We start from the raw sequence: 16,069 nt of genomic DNA, 5'->3' as shown, positions 1-16,069 counted from the left end.
CACTTTCCCTTCTCCATAAAATTCTTTCTAGTAGCCATCACATTTCCCCTATTTGAGTTAGAACTCGCCCTACTACTACCCTTACTGTGAGCCCTTCAAACAATCTGATACTAATAATCCCTGCGATATGTGTAGCAACTTCACACTTCACCCCCCCGCCGGATATTATGGCCAATATCAGAGTGGAGTGTGCACCCCCTGCAATATGGGGAGTGATATCATCCTCTCCCCACTGGATGTTATGGACAATATCACAGGAGGTTTACTTTCTCTGGGTTATGGGGAAAAATATCCTCCTGTCCCCGCCTGGATGTTAGACATATTTAGAGGGGGGTGTCCACCCCCTGTGATATGGGGAGTAGTAATATACTCTCCTGCCCTGGATGTTATGGACAATATATAGGGAGATATACAATCCCTTCGATATGGGGAGTAATATCATCCTCTTCCCCCTAAACGTTACGAACAGTATCACAGGGGGGTGTACACCCCCTGCAATATCTGGAGTAGTATCATCCCCCTTCTTCCCTAAATGTTACAGAGACTATCACAGGGGTGTGTACACCTTCTGAAACATGGGAATAATATTCTCTTCCCCTCTGGATGTTATTATGGACAACATTACAGCCGTGTGCACCCTCTATGATATGCAGAGTAATATCATCCTCTCCCCCCTGGATGTAAGTGATAATACCACAAACGGGTTTACATCCCCTGTGATATGGGGAGTAATATCATCCTCTTTCCCACTGGATATTAACAATATCACTTGGGGTGTACAACCCCTGTGATATTCGGGATAATATCTTCTAATCCACTGAAAATTATAAACAATATCACCAGTGTACACTCCCTGTGATATTGGAAGTAATATCATCCTCTAATCCCCTAAAAATTATGAACAGTATCACAGGGGAGTGTATACTTCCTACTATATTGGGAGTAATATCATCCTGTCGTCTTCTAAATATTATGAACAATATTACAGGGGATGTAACACTCCCTGCGATATGTGGAGTAATATCATCCTCTCCTTCCCTAAATATTGTGAACTATATCACAGGAGGTTGTACACAATCTGCGATATTGTTTGTAGTATCCAGTGGGAAAGAGGATGCTATTACTCCCCATATCACAGGGGGTGTACACCCCCACTGTGATATATTCAATAACATCCAGAAGTAATATTACTGACAAAATTGCAGGGGGGTGTAAACCCCACCTGTGATACCGTTCCTAATATCCCGGGGAAGAGAGGATGATATTATTCCCAATATTGCAGGGGTTGTACACCCACCCTATGATATTGTTATTAATACCCAGGAGGGGAGACAATGGTATTACTCACAGTATCAGAGAGGTTGTACAGCCCCCCTGTGATAGTTTCTAATATCCAGGGGGTGTATACCACCCTTGTGATATTGTTTCTAATATGTAGGGAGAAGGACAATGATATTACTGTCCGTATCACAGGGGGTGTACAACAAGCCCCCCGGGATATCATTCCTAATATCCATGGGAAGAAAGAATATTATAATATCACAGAAGTTGTACACCCCCTCTGTGATATTGTTCCTAATATCAAAGACAGAAGGGTATGATGTTCTTCCCAAAATCACAGGAAGTGTATACACACCCTGTGCTATTTTTCCTAATATCGAGAGTGAGAGACAATGATACTTCCAATATCGTAAGGAGTGTACACTCTCCCCGTGATACCAGGTGGGGAAATGTTGATATTACTCCAAATGTCACAGTGGGTGTACACACGTTTTGCGATATTGTTCCTAATAGCAAGTGGGGAGGAGGATTGTATTACTCCCACCATATTACTCCCCACACCCCATTATACTGTTCTTAATATCCAGATTTGGAGAGGATGATATTACTCCCAAAATCTCAGGAGGTGTAGACCTCTTCTGTGATACTGTTTCTTATATCCAGGGGAAGACTAGATGATAGTACTCCCAACAGTGCAGGGTGTTACACGCCACCCCCCATGATATTGTCTCTAATATCAAGTTGGGGAGAGGGTGATATTGCTCCAAATAGTGTAAAGGGTGCACACCAGCACTGTGATATTATTCCTAGTATCCAGAGAAGGAGAGAATGGTATTATTTTTAATATCACAGAGGGTGCACACCCCCCTTGTGATACTGCTCCTAACATCCAAGGGGTAGAGGATGAAATTACTCCCAATATCACAGTGGGTATACACCCCCCGTGGTATTGTTCCTAATATCCAGGGGGTATAGGATGATAGTACTATAAATATCGCAAGGGGTGTACACCCCTTCTGATATTGTTACTAATATCCGTGGGGGGAGTCGATGATATTACTTCCAATATCACAGGGCATATACACCCCCCTTGTGATATTGTTCCTAATATCCTGGGAGGAGACTACGATATTACTGGCAATATCGCAGGGTGTGTGCATTCCCGTGATATTGTTCCTAATGTCCAGCAAGGGAGAAAATATTACTCCCAATATGGCGGGGGTGTACACTTCCCATGCGATATCGTTCCTAATATCCATGGGGGAAAAGGATGATATTACTCTAAATGTCGCAGGAGGTGTAAACCGCCCCTGTGATATTGTTCTCAATATCCATGGGGGGAGAGAATGATATTACTCCCAATATCACAGGTGGTGTACACCCCACCTGTTATATTATTCCTAATATCCAGATTGGGAGAGAATAATATTACAGGTAAAATAGCAGGGGGTGTACACTCCGCCTGTGATATTGTTCCTAATATTCCGGGGAAGAGTGGACAATATTACTCTCAATATCGCAGGATGTGTACACCCCCTTTGTGATATTGTTCCTAATATCCATAGGGGGAGAGGGTGATACCACTCCCAATAGTGCAGAAAAGGTACAGCCCTGCTGTGATATCATTCCTAATATCCAGAGGGGACAGGATGATATTACTCCCAATATCACAGAGGGCATACACCCCTTCCCCATGATATTGTTCATAATACCCAGGGGGTAGAGGATGATATTACTCCCAATATCGCAGTGGGTGTACAACCACCCTGTGATATTGTTCCTAATATCCATGTGGAAAGGGTATAAAGTTACTCCCAATATCACAGGGGTTGTACAACCCCCTTGTGATATTGTTCCTTATATTCGGGGGAGAGACAATGATATAGCTGTCCATATTGCAGGTGGTGTACAACCCCCTGGGAATTTGTTCCTAATATTCAGTGGGGAAGATGATATTAATTAAAATGTCACGGGGGGTATACAACCCCTTTGTGATATTATTCCTAATATCCAGGGAAAGAAAGAATATTATTCCCAATATCGCAGGGGATGTACACCCCTCTCTGACACTCTTTCTAATATCCCTGGGGGGAGTCTATAATATTACTGGCAATATCATAAGGAGTGTATAGCCCCTGTTATATTGTTCCTTATGTCCAGCAAGGGAGAAAATATTAATCCCAATATGGAACAGGGTATACACACCCAAGAGGTATTGTTCCTAATATCCAGGGAGGGAAAGGATGATATTACTCCCAATGTTGCAGTGGTGTATAAACCCCCGCGATATTGTTCCTAATATCTAGGTGGGGAAAGTACAGTATTACTCCCAATATAGCAGGGGTTGTACACCACCTTTGTGATATTGTTCTACATATCCATGGGGAAAGAAAATGATAGTACTCCCCAATATCACAGGTGGTGTACAACCCCTTGTGATACTGTTTCTAATATCCATGTTGGGGGAGGATATTACTCCCAATATTGCACGTGTTGCACAGACCCCCTTTGATATTGCTTGTACTATGCAGGGTGTGGGGGGAGAGGATGATATTGGGAGTAATATCACCCTCTCTCCCCAGATATTAAAAGCAACATTCAGGGTGGTCGACACTTCCTGCAATATTGAGTATAATATCCTCTCCCAACCTGGATATTAGGAACAATATCACAGGGGCATGTACACTCCCTTCCTTTCACCATATACAAAAATCAACTCAAGATGGATGAAGGACTTATGTAAGACCCAAAACTATATAAACCCTAGAAGAAAACTTAGGAAATATCATTCTGGACATAGGCGCAGGCAAATATTTCATGATGAAGATTCCAAAAGCAATTGCAACAAGAAGAATTGACGAGTGGGACCTAATGAAACTAAAGAGCTTCAGCACAGCAAAAGAAACTATCAACAGAGAACACCCTACAGAACAGAAGAAAATATTTTCAAATTACATATCTGAAAAAGGTCTAATACTTAGCATGTATAAAGAATCAATAAGCAAAAAACAAACCCACTACAAATAGGCAAAGAACATGAACCCCCACATTCACCATCCTCAAGTCCATGTGCAACTTCTTTCTGGATGCTGGACAAGGACTTGGGTACCAAGAGAGCACTGAACGGGTTAACACTTAAGCCGTCTGTGGATTCTTTTTTCAAAAGACAACGTATGTATGGCAAACAACCATGTGAAAAAATACTCAACATCACTAATCATCAGAAAATCAGAACCATGAGATACCATATCACACCGGTCAGAATGGCTACAATTAAAAAATCAAAACATAACAGACGGTGCCGAGTTTGTGGAAAAAAGGGAATGCTTATACACTGCTGCTGGTGATATAGAAAGGAGACAGGGAAATACTGGGTAGAAGAGAGTGGTTCCCTGGCAAAGCCCTGCCCACAAGCCTGGAAACCCATGGCCCTAAATGGGAACAGGCATTCCTGCTTTTGCACCCAAAAGTTGTCTTTCAGCTCACCATGCACCCCCTGTCCTGTACCCATATATGCCCCAGACCCCAGGCTCCAGAAACAGACAAGCAGATGAGGAGATGGACAGAAGAGCAGAATTGCAGAATGATGTGGCAGAAAGAAGAGAAGGAGCATCTGAATGCCAAGAGGAGTCTGGCTGGCAGTGGTTGGAGAGATCAGCCTCTGGATGGCAAAGCTCCCGGGGAAGATCATCTTCCCATTCCATCCCCTTTCCAGCTTCCCATCCATCCCATTGAGTGCCACCTCCACCACTCAATAAAACCCCCACATTCACCATCCTCAAGTCTGTGTGCAACTTAATTCTTTCTGGATGCTGGACAAGGAACTGGGTACCAAGAGGGCACTGAACAGGTTAACACTTAAGCCGTCTGTGGATGGCAAAGCTAAAAGAGTGCACTGTAACACATGCCCACTTGGGCTGTGGGAGTCGCATGAACCCACCCCTAGACAGTACCATGGCCACTTGCCCTGCCTATTGCACCTGCCTGTCTGCATGCTTCCCTGCCCAGTAAGGGGTTTGACAGCACACACGGTGGCCAGACAAGCCACACCCCTGTTGCACATCCTGCCAAGGGGAGTCAGGGAAGTCTCCAGTTTCATCAGGAATGTAAATTTGTTCAGCCATTGTGGAAAGCAGTTTGGAGATTTCTGAAATAACTTAAAACAGAACTACCATTCAACCCAGCAATCCCATTATTGGGTATATACCCAAATGAATATATATCATTCTGTCATAGACATATGCACGCATATTTTCATTATAACACTATTCACAATAGCAAAGACACGGAATCAACTTAGATGCCTGTTAACAGAAGACTGGATTAAAAAAATGCAGCGTACATACACCATGGAATACTACACACCTATAAAATAGGATGAAATAATGTCTTTTGCAGCAACATGAATGGAGCTGGATACCATTATTCTAAGTGAATTAATGCAGGAACAGAAAACCAAACAAACACTGCATGTTCTCACTTATAAGTGGGGGCTAAACATTGAGTCCACATGGACACAGAGAAGGGAACAATAGACACAAGGTCTACTGTGGGTGGAGGGTGGGGGGAGAGTGAGGATCAAAAAACTCCCTATTAGATACTACGTTCACTACCTGGATGACTACGTAATCTGTACACCAAATCCCATTGACACACATTTTACCCATATAATAAACCTGCACATGTACCCGCTGAACCTAAAATAAATGTTGGAAGGAAATAAAGTTACAACCAACTCTTGTACTATTGTGAGGAAACAATCATATGTGTTGACAAAAAATCAGCTACTAATAGATTTATAATAGTATATATGTAGCAGAAAAATATCAGATATAACTTATATACCCAAAAGTATGACTTAAAAACAGCATGACAATCTTTATGATGGGATATTGTGCAACTACTAGAAGCATATTTTCAGAGATTATTTATTAACATATGATAATGACTACATTGAGTGGTTTTTAGAAGCATGAATTGAAACCATGTATAAGCATGACTTTATTGAACTTATATATAACATTACACACACATTTACATAATTATAAAATAAGTATGCTCATGTTCATAATATGTATTTATTTATATTCATATGTAAGGCCAATAGGAAGTAATCTCTGTATCTGAGTTATTATTTCATAAATAATTTATGCTTGTTCTGTGAAAATAAAAACACTGCTATGGATCTTCCAAGTATCCTGAAAGGATACCGTTTATAATTAAACAATAACAATTTTAGAAATAATTATTTTAAATAAGGCTATGATAAATCTGGTTTCATTGCACACTTTAACTTTGGAACATTTCATGAAGCTTCCCTTGATCACGACTCTCATATTCAGGAGTTTTTTGAGATCAAAATGGGACAATCAGTATGAATCTATTTTTTAGACATGCAAATGGATAACTTTAAATAGCAGTAGCGATATAATCAGAGTGCACAGTTGCTCTGGGACAAAACTTGGAAATGAGCATATTTTTAGATTCTTAATGTTTTACACACTTTAGCATTCCACAGCACCATTACATACTCATTTTTCTACTAGAATACCTTGGTAAAAATTCACAGTAGAGATCAGGCTTGTCCTTCATACATTAACTAATCAAGTAGGAAAGTGCAAATGAGAACACAGTGCCAAACATAGGCACCACATGGAAACAAGCATGGAACTGCCAGGAAGCCATCTTTGTAGCTTTGTAGCCCAATTATATTTTTCCTAATGTATTGCACACAAAACTTGGGGGAAAAAAAAAGAGGCAGAGAGAAAACAGGTTATATCAGCCCTATCTCACAATCCACAAGTTCATCCTGTTAGAGGAGTAACTATGTAAAACAAATTTTATCTGTTGAATGTCCTATTTAGTTAATCGCAAAACTGTACGAGAACACACTTGTGACTTATTTAGCAGCTTGTTTGTTCGCTTTCCACTGGCTTCACAAATGTCCTTTGGAAATAGAATGTACATTTGGAACCTTGTACACCTTTTCTTTCTCCAGTACCCTCTTGTCACTTCCATCACTAAGGTGACAGAAGCAACTAGGGGCAATGCATTTGTAGCACACCTGGGTCAGAGGTATCCTCCAGGGGAAGGATCAGACCTGCTTGAAAGCATGTCGTTGGAATTGGGAGGCTTCTAGTAGCTATAACATAAGCACTGATGTTTACTATTCCCTGCCCTCCACTTTGATCACTCTGGGAAACGTTTTTTTTCTTAAAAAATCAATTGTATTGAAACATAATTTACATAAAATAAATACTATTTTAAAGTGCACAGTTTGCTGAGTTTTGCCAGATGTAACCATCCAGGTGAATAAAATTGATTAAACTGATCTTTCAAATAATAAATTAACTTTGCAATCTTGCTAGAAATTTAATTTGTTCACAGTTTATTATCCATTCTATGTACTGCTACATTCAATTGGTTATTATGTTTTAAGGACTTTTGAGTCTATGTTTATGAGGGATAAACATCAAAGTTGTATAATGCCTTTGTCTCGATTTGGAATCGGCAATACTGGGTTCATAAAATAAGATAGGAAATGTCCCTTTAAATTTTCTTTCTTTTTTTTTTTTTTTTTTGAGACGGAGATTCACTCTTGTTGCCCAGGCTGGAGTGCAATGGCACAATTTCGGCTCTCCACAATCTCTGCCTCCCAGATTCAAGCTATTCTCCTGCCTCTGTCTCCCGAGGAGCTGGGATTACAGGTAAGCGCCACCATGCCCTGCTAATTATGTACTTTTAGTAGAGATGGGGGTTTCTCCATGCTGGTCAGGTTGGTCTCAAACTCCTGACCCCAGGTGATCTGCCCGTCTTGGCCTCCCAAAGTGCTGGGATTACAGGTGTGAGCCACTGTGTCCATCCCTTAAATTCTATTTCTTAAAAAGATTCCGTTCAAGATTGATATTATAGATACTCCTCAACTTACAATTGTCTTATGTCTGAATGAACTCATCCTAAATTGAAAATATTGTAAGTCTAAAACGCATTTAATATATTTAACCTACTGAATATCATGACTTAGCCTCACCTACCTTAAACTTGCTCAGAACACTTACATTATCCTACAATTGGGCAAAATCATCTACCACAAGGCCCATTTTAAAATATTGAGTATCTCATGAAATTTGTTGAAAACTATACTGATAGTGAAAAACTGGTCATATTGATGCTCATCATTAACGTACACAGATGAAAGCACCATTATCAAGTAAGAAGAGCACAAGTCAAACCACTGTAAGTTGAGGACTCTCTGTACTTTCTTAAATGTTTGATAGAATTCACCTGAGAAAGCATGTAGCCTGTAATTATAGAAATCTTTTTTAATTAAAAATATTCTTCAATACATAGAGAAGCTACTACTTTTTCTATTTCATTTTGCATTAGTTTTAAGAATTAGTTTTACAAATAATTTCCCATGTTATTTTAATTGTCAAATGTATTGGCCTAAAGTTTTCATAATTATATTGATGTCTGTAGGTTCTGTAGTTACATCCTCTATTTAATTCCCATTATCTACATTATGTAGCTTCTCTAATTTTTTTCGAGATAATCTTGCTAGCCATTGTTTATTAAAAAAATTTTTTTCAAAGAACCAATTTGTGGGTATATTAATTAGCTCCACCTTTTGTTATTTGCTATGTTGTTGGTTTACATTTTTATCTTTATCATCTTCCTTCTTCTTAATTTGGATATACTTTGCTTATTTTTTAGCCTCTTAAAAAAGAACCTAAAGGTCATTGATTGAAGCCTTTTATTTTCAATATATTACATGTATAAATGTACCTTTAAGAAACGATTTATCTGCATCCCACATTTTATTAAGTTTTTAAAAAATTTTCTTTCAGTTTAAACTATTTTTTTTGTGTGTGAAACTTTTCTTGGCCAATGGGTTTTTCTGAAGTATTTTGTTTAATGTTCAAATGTTGGGGTGTTATTGTACATATCCTACTGTTGTCCATCTCTGGTTCATGATACAATGCATGTTCTCCATTGCACTTAGATAACATGCCTCCATGTCTCTGGAGAATTCCTCAGTCTTTCTAAAATGCTTTTGATGAATACTGGCAGTTATTTTGTAGAATGTCCCGCCTCAATTTCAGTTAGTCTGATGTTTTCTCACGGTTAGGACTAAAGTTATACATTTTGTCTAAGAATACCATAGAATTGATGTTTTGTCCTACTCAGTGCATCATATAAGAAATTACATGAAGTTCATTTATCTTATTATTAGTAATGTTAACTTTGATCACTTGGCTAAGTTGACATCTCCACTTTGAAGTTACTATTCTATAATTATCTTGTGGGAAGATACTTTCATATTATGCAAATATGTTCTTTCCCAACATATATTCACCACTAATCTTAGCATTCCTCCAAGGCTCTTTCTTGCAACAATTATTACTATGATATTTGCAAAGTGATGATTCTTATATTTTATGTCTCCTACATTTAATGAAATCTTACTGTAATAAAATACTACCCACTCTCAATCTTTGGTTTATTATTTATGTCAATATGGATTTTTTTTTTGAGTTGGAGTCTTGTTTTGTCATCCAGGCTGGTGTGCAATGGTGCGATTTCCGCTCACTGCACTTCCACCTTCCGGGATTCAAGCCATTCTCCTGCCTCAGCCTCCGGAGTAGCTGGGACTACAGGCATGTGCCACCATGCCCAGATAATTTTTGTATTTTTAGTAGAGGCAGGGATTCACCACATTGGTCAGGCTGGTCTCGAACTCCTGACCTCAAGTGATCTGCCCGCCTCTGCCTCCCAAAGGGCTGGGAATACAGGCATGAGCAACTGCACTCGGCCTGGATTAATTGAAAATTTTCTTCTGTAGATTGTAATATATTACTATTGTTATCTATTTTATTGCCCCAATTTTCTCAAATTTGGCTATGGAAGTTTATTCAAAGTGGATCTGTTTCCCTTTCACATTTTCCCCATTTTGTGAGCATTTCCTTACTTCCTAACATGACAAAATATTTCAAACTAATCTTGTATTTTCCCTGCCCAATCCTGATATCAAATATGTCCCCAAGGAGCCTTGGTTCCTTTAATTGGAGAATGGTGTTCTCATTGTTACTGGGATGATGTTGTTTCTAGGCCCTTTTGTTAGAGGAGCTAGAAAATATATGTATGTATACTCACACATTTATACACATCTGTACTTATTTATACAATTATCCATCTGTACATATACTAAAAACAATGATTTCATGAAACTTTTGATCCCAATCCAACACTAGATAAAGACTATATAGGCCCATTTATTTGCAAATCAGCACATAAACATAGAAGAATTATTAACAATATAAGCTGTAGCTTATGCTAAATGTTGGTTGGAACAGACAATAAGTTATGGAGAACTTCAGAGGACACTAAGGTTGGATGGGATTTTGGAAGTTGTGCAGGTCAATACCACCCCATCTATTGGCTGAGATTCACTAGGTTAATACATGAACAACAACAAAAATAACCTAGATCAGAAGTTAAAGATCATTTTATTGACTATCTGCCGTGTCTGTGCCATTGCAGTGTACTAGGTGCACTTACGAGTCCTCTACTTACAAACTGCTTCTCACAAAATATGAAACTCCAGGCAAAGGTTCAGACATACGACGTTTGTTTTTAAAATCTTTCTACAGCCTTGTATCCTTTTTCCTTTCCTTCCTTTTACCCTTTTTAAAATGTGTTATGAGTTTTATCTTAGACTAACATCATCTGTAATGTTGCTATACGCCAGTATTCAGTTGCTGTGTTTGATGAATCATAAAATGGTGTAAAACTTCAATTAGTGTACTTTTTAAATAAAGTATCTATGAATGCATCCAGCAAAATGTTTATGATTTGAGTATTCACACAATATTACTTTTCTCTGGATCTAACAATAATGTGAAAACACAAAATGAATATAAAATATTAGCTAATAATAGATTTCAAAGTATTGTACAAGTATGAAAAATATATGATATTGTTACTTTCATATATGTAAAACATTAATCATTTTTGTCAACATAAACATCATCTTTACACCTAAACTTGTATTAATTCAATTAAGAGTTAATATAGTATCCTAAAGTCATCAAATATTCAAAAATAGGATGTATTCTGACTTGGAATATACATAAAATTAACTATTTTCAGCTGAGCAGAGTGGCTCATGCCTGTAATTCCAGCACTTTGGGAGGCTGAGGTAGGCAGATTGCTTGAGATCAGGAGTTTCAGACCAGCCTGGCCAACATGGTGAAACCCTGTCTCTACCAAAAATACAAGTTAGCCAGGCATGGTGGAACCTGCCTGTAATCCCAACTACTCTGAAGGCTGAGGCAGGAGAATCACTTGAACCCAGGAGGCAGAGGATGCAGTGAGCCAAGATTGCGCCACTGCACTCCAGCCTGGGTGACAGAGTGAGGCTCCATATCAAAATAATAATAATAATAATGAGTAATAATAATAATAACTCTTTTCTGTGAGTCCAAAGATAAAATAGCATTACAAAATACCTAATAATCCTGAGTTTGGTTTTCTTGGTTTTATTTTTTCATTTAGTTTTGTTCACTTTGACCAGTGGGCTGGTGGTTCTTAGGTGCACCAAGGTTTTCATTTTTCAGTTCAAGATTTTAAAACCTTAATGTGGTAATTTCTCTAATTTTTTTGACAGTTACGTCCCAGGTTGCAAGTTAAAATAAAATTCCCATTTTACTAAAGTCCTTGGTTTATTAATTATTTTATAATGACTTAATATATAATTTAAGTAATGAGGGGTACTACATTTCAGAAATAAACACTGAAGAACTTATTCATGGAACCAAACACCAACTGTTTTTCAAACACCTATTAAAATAAAAATACATATAAATAATTTTTAAAAATAAACACTAAAAATAAAGTGAAAATGAAAAAATATATATCCAGGTTAAAAAAAAAAACTACTTCAGTTGAACAATAAATACTTTCTGGGGGGACTCAACTCTACTGCAAAATTATTCGTTGTTTATTATAATCAATAATACAGGTAAAAGAATAAGTTTTTAAAAATGGAAAAATTGTAAAAAATAAAACGATATTAACAAATATTGGTATACTGGTGAAGGCCGGGCTCAGTGGCTGCTTTCCAAAGTGGTTACACCAGTCGGGCGTGGTGGCACACACCTGTAATCTCAGCACTTCCGGAAGCTGAAGCAGGCAGATCACTTGAGCTCAGGAGTTTGACACAAACCTGGGGTACATGACAACACCCCATTTCTACCAAAAACTGTAAAAATCAGCTGCACATGATAGCATGCACCTGTAAGTCCCAGCTACTTAGGAGGCTGAGGTGAGAGGATCACTTGTGCCTGGAAGGTCACAGCTGCACTGGCCATGTTCATGTCACTGCACTCCAGCCTGGGCAACAGAGCAAGATTTTGTCTCAAAAAAAAAAAAAGTTGGTGACAATTGGAATAATTGGAACTCACATACATTACTGGTGGGAACATAAAATGGTGTAATCAATTTGGGTGTTTTCTTGGCATTTGATTTTTTTAAAAAATCAAGACATTGTTTCCCTATGTTGCCCAGGGTTGTCCTGAACTCCCGAGCTAAGAAAATCCTCCAAACTCAGCGTCTCAAATACCTGAGATTAAAGGTGTGAGCCACTGTGCCTGACCAGTGTAATCACTTTGAAAAACAACGTGGCCGTTCCTCAAAGACTAAATGTATAGTAATCACATAATGCAACAATTTCACTCCTGAGTGTAAATCCAAGAGAAATAAAAATATATGTTCACACTAAAACTTACGTACGAGTGTTCATAGCAGCCTGACTCATGATGGTGAATACGCAAAAACAACACAAATGTCCATCAACTAATGAATGGATAAACATAAACTATTACTCAGCTACAAAAGGAAAGAAATCCTGATACACACTATAACATGAAAGAAATTTGAAAACATTCTGCTAAGAGAAAAAAAAAAGCAAATTACAAAAGATCACACATTGTACAATTCTATTTCTATAAAAGGTCCAGATTAGGCAAAACTACAATGACAGAAAATAAATCAGTGGTTGCCTATGAACATGGGGTACGTAGGAGGTAGCGGCTAAGAGGTGAGGGTTTCTCACTCATAAGTGGGTAACTCACCAGTGGGTAATCACTTCTAAGAAAGACTGTGGTGATGGATGCACAGCTCCTTGAATATTCTAAAAACCACTCAATTGTATACTTTCTTTTTTCTTTAGTTATTTAAAGACAGGGTCTCCTTTTGTCACCCATGCTGTAGTGCAGTGGTGCCATCTGGTCTCACTGCAACCTATGGCTTCTGGCTCAAGTGATCTTCCAGTCTCATGTCCCCAAGTAGTTGGGACTACAGGCATGAGCCACCACACCCAGCTAATTTTTGTAATTTTGCTAGAGATGCTGTTTTGCCATGTTGCCCAGGCTAGTCGCAAACTCCTGAACACAAGCGATCCACCTGCCTCAGCTGCCCAAAGTCTTAGCGTTATAGGAATTAGCCACTGCACCTGGCCTGAATTGCGTACTTTGATAAATGAATTGCATGATACGTTAATCATATTTCAATAACGTTATTATTTTAAAAATGGCTGGGCATGGCGTGGTGACTCACGCCTCTGATCTCAGCACACTGGGAGGCCAAGGTGGGTGGATTGCCTGATTTCAGGAGTTCGAGACCATTCTGGCCAACATACTGAAACCCTGTCTCTACTAAAAATACAAAAATATTAGCTGAGAGTGGTGACATGTGCCTGTAATTCCAGCTAGTCGGGAGGCTGAGGCAGGGGAGTTGCTTGAACCAGGGAGGTGGAGGTTGCAGTCAGCTGAGATCACACCACTGCATTCCAGCCTGGATGACAGAGTGAGAGTCTGTCTCCAAAAGAAAGAAAGAAAAAGAAAATGGGTATTGAACACAGGTGGCTCCCACCTACATATAATCCAAGCACTTTGGGAAGCTGAGGCAGAATGATCACTTGAGGCCAGGAGTCTGACCACATCCTGAGCAACACAGCAAGATCCCATCTGTACAATAAAAAATAAAGAAGTTAGCTGGGCATAGGGGCAAATGTATGTAGTCCCAGCTACTTGGGAGGCTGAGGTGGGAGGACTGTTTGAGTCCGGGGTTTCAGGCTGCAGTGAACCATGATCATGCCACCGCACTGCAGCCTGGGTGACAGAACAAAACCCTGTCTCTAGAAAGAAAAAAAAAAGAAATCCAAGTTTTTATCACCTTCTGAGAGTAATAAACATTCAGGAGGAACAGAGAAGAACAAAAGACCACTGAATGGTTGAGGGTGGGTTGCTGGTTAGGTTCAGTGGCCAGCTGAGTAGTATCTGAAAAATTCATTAGTAAAATTATGGCACTAGGGGTGAGTCATGCAGTCGAAGGATGAATACTAAATCCAGTACAAACACCCATGGTCTTTCTTTACATGAATTCCAGTGAAAAATTTCTAAGTGCCTAAAATAGCAAGTGGTCTGAAATGATGGCAGCAGTTTATTAAAGACTGAAAAAAGAGGCCAGGCACGGTGGCTCACACCTGTAATCCCAGCACTTTAGGAGTCCAAGGCCAGTGGATCACAAGGTCAGGAGTTCAAGACCAGCCTGTCCAACATGCTGAAACCCCGTATCTACAGAAAATACAAAGCTTAGCCGGGCATAGTGACACGTGCCTGTAGTCCCAGCTACATCAGAGGCTGAGGCAAAAGAAATGCTTGAACCCGGGAGGCAGAAGTTGCTGTGAATTGAGATTGTGCCACTGCACTCGAGCCTGGTGACAGAGGAAGATGCTGTCTCAAAAAAAAAAAAAAAGAAAAGAAAAAGAAATGGCATCTTCAAGAACCACAAGAGAGTTCCGCACTGAAGAAGCTCTGATTCTGCATTTGCTGAACTATGATTTGAGTTAGCCAATATAACACTATCTTAGATAAAGTGTACAAACAACTCAATTTCATCTCCTCATTAATAACTGATTAGTCTAATATCAATTCTGATTTTTAAAAAGCTAATTAGAAAAAGAATTAATTATAGAACCAATAAGAGATTTGAATAGTTACAAGCTATTCAAAGGAGAATTCAAAAAACCACTCAGGTATGAGGCCATAAAGTATGATGAAATAAATTTCATTAATATATTTTAAAATAAACTGATTAGACAGGCAACAACACCTGGGCACGGGTCTCCTCACCTCCAGCAACACAAACCCAATCGCGCAGCTATGGGGTTGAAAAGGCTGCATAGTGACAAACAGACTGCTCTGAGCTGAGATTTCTTTACTTGTATCTGTATTCTGAGACCGGGTCTCACTCTGTCACTCTGGCTGCAATGAAGGGGTGCACTCATAGCTAACTGCAGCCGTGACCTCCTGGGCTCCGGGGATCCTCCTGCCTCACCCTCACCATAGCTACGGCTACAGATGAGCACCAAAACACCCAGCTAATTTTTTTTTTTTTTTGTAGAAAGAGGAGCCTTGCTACGTTGCCCAAGCTGGCCTCAAACTCCCGCCCTCAAGAGATCTGCCCACCTCAACAACCTAAGTAACAGGTTCTACAGGAAAATACCACTATGCCGGGATAATTATATTTTATTAATTTTTATTTGCATAGACAGGAGGTCTTGCTGTGTTGCCCAGGGTGGTCTCAAACTCCTGGACTCAAACCATTCTCCCATCTCTGCTTCCCAAAGTGCTGAAGCTACGGGCATAAGCCACTGCACCTGGCCCGACTTAAGATTTCTGTAATCTAGCATCCCATACTTCATATAATTGGGAAAAGCAGTAGTGTT

The sequence above is a fragment of the Homo sapiens genome, chromosome 4 (assembly GCF_000001405.40).
Source record: "Homo sapiens chromosome 4, GRCh38.p14 Primary Assembly".
Taxonomy (NCBI): domain Eukaryota; kingdom Metazoa; phylum Chordata; class Mammalia; order Primates; family Hominidae; genus Homo; species Homo sapiens.
This window is presented reverse-complemented; position numbering follows the sequence as displayed.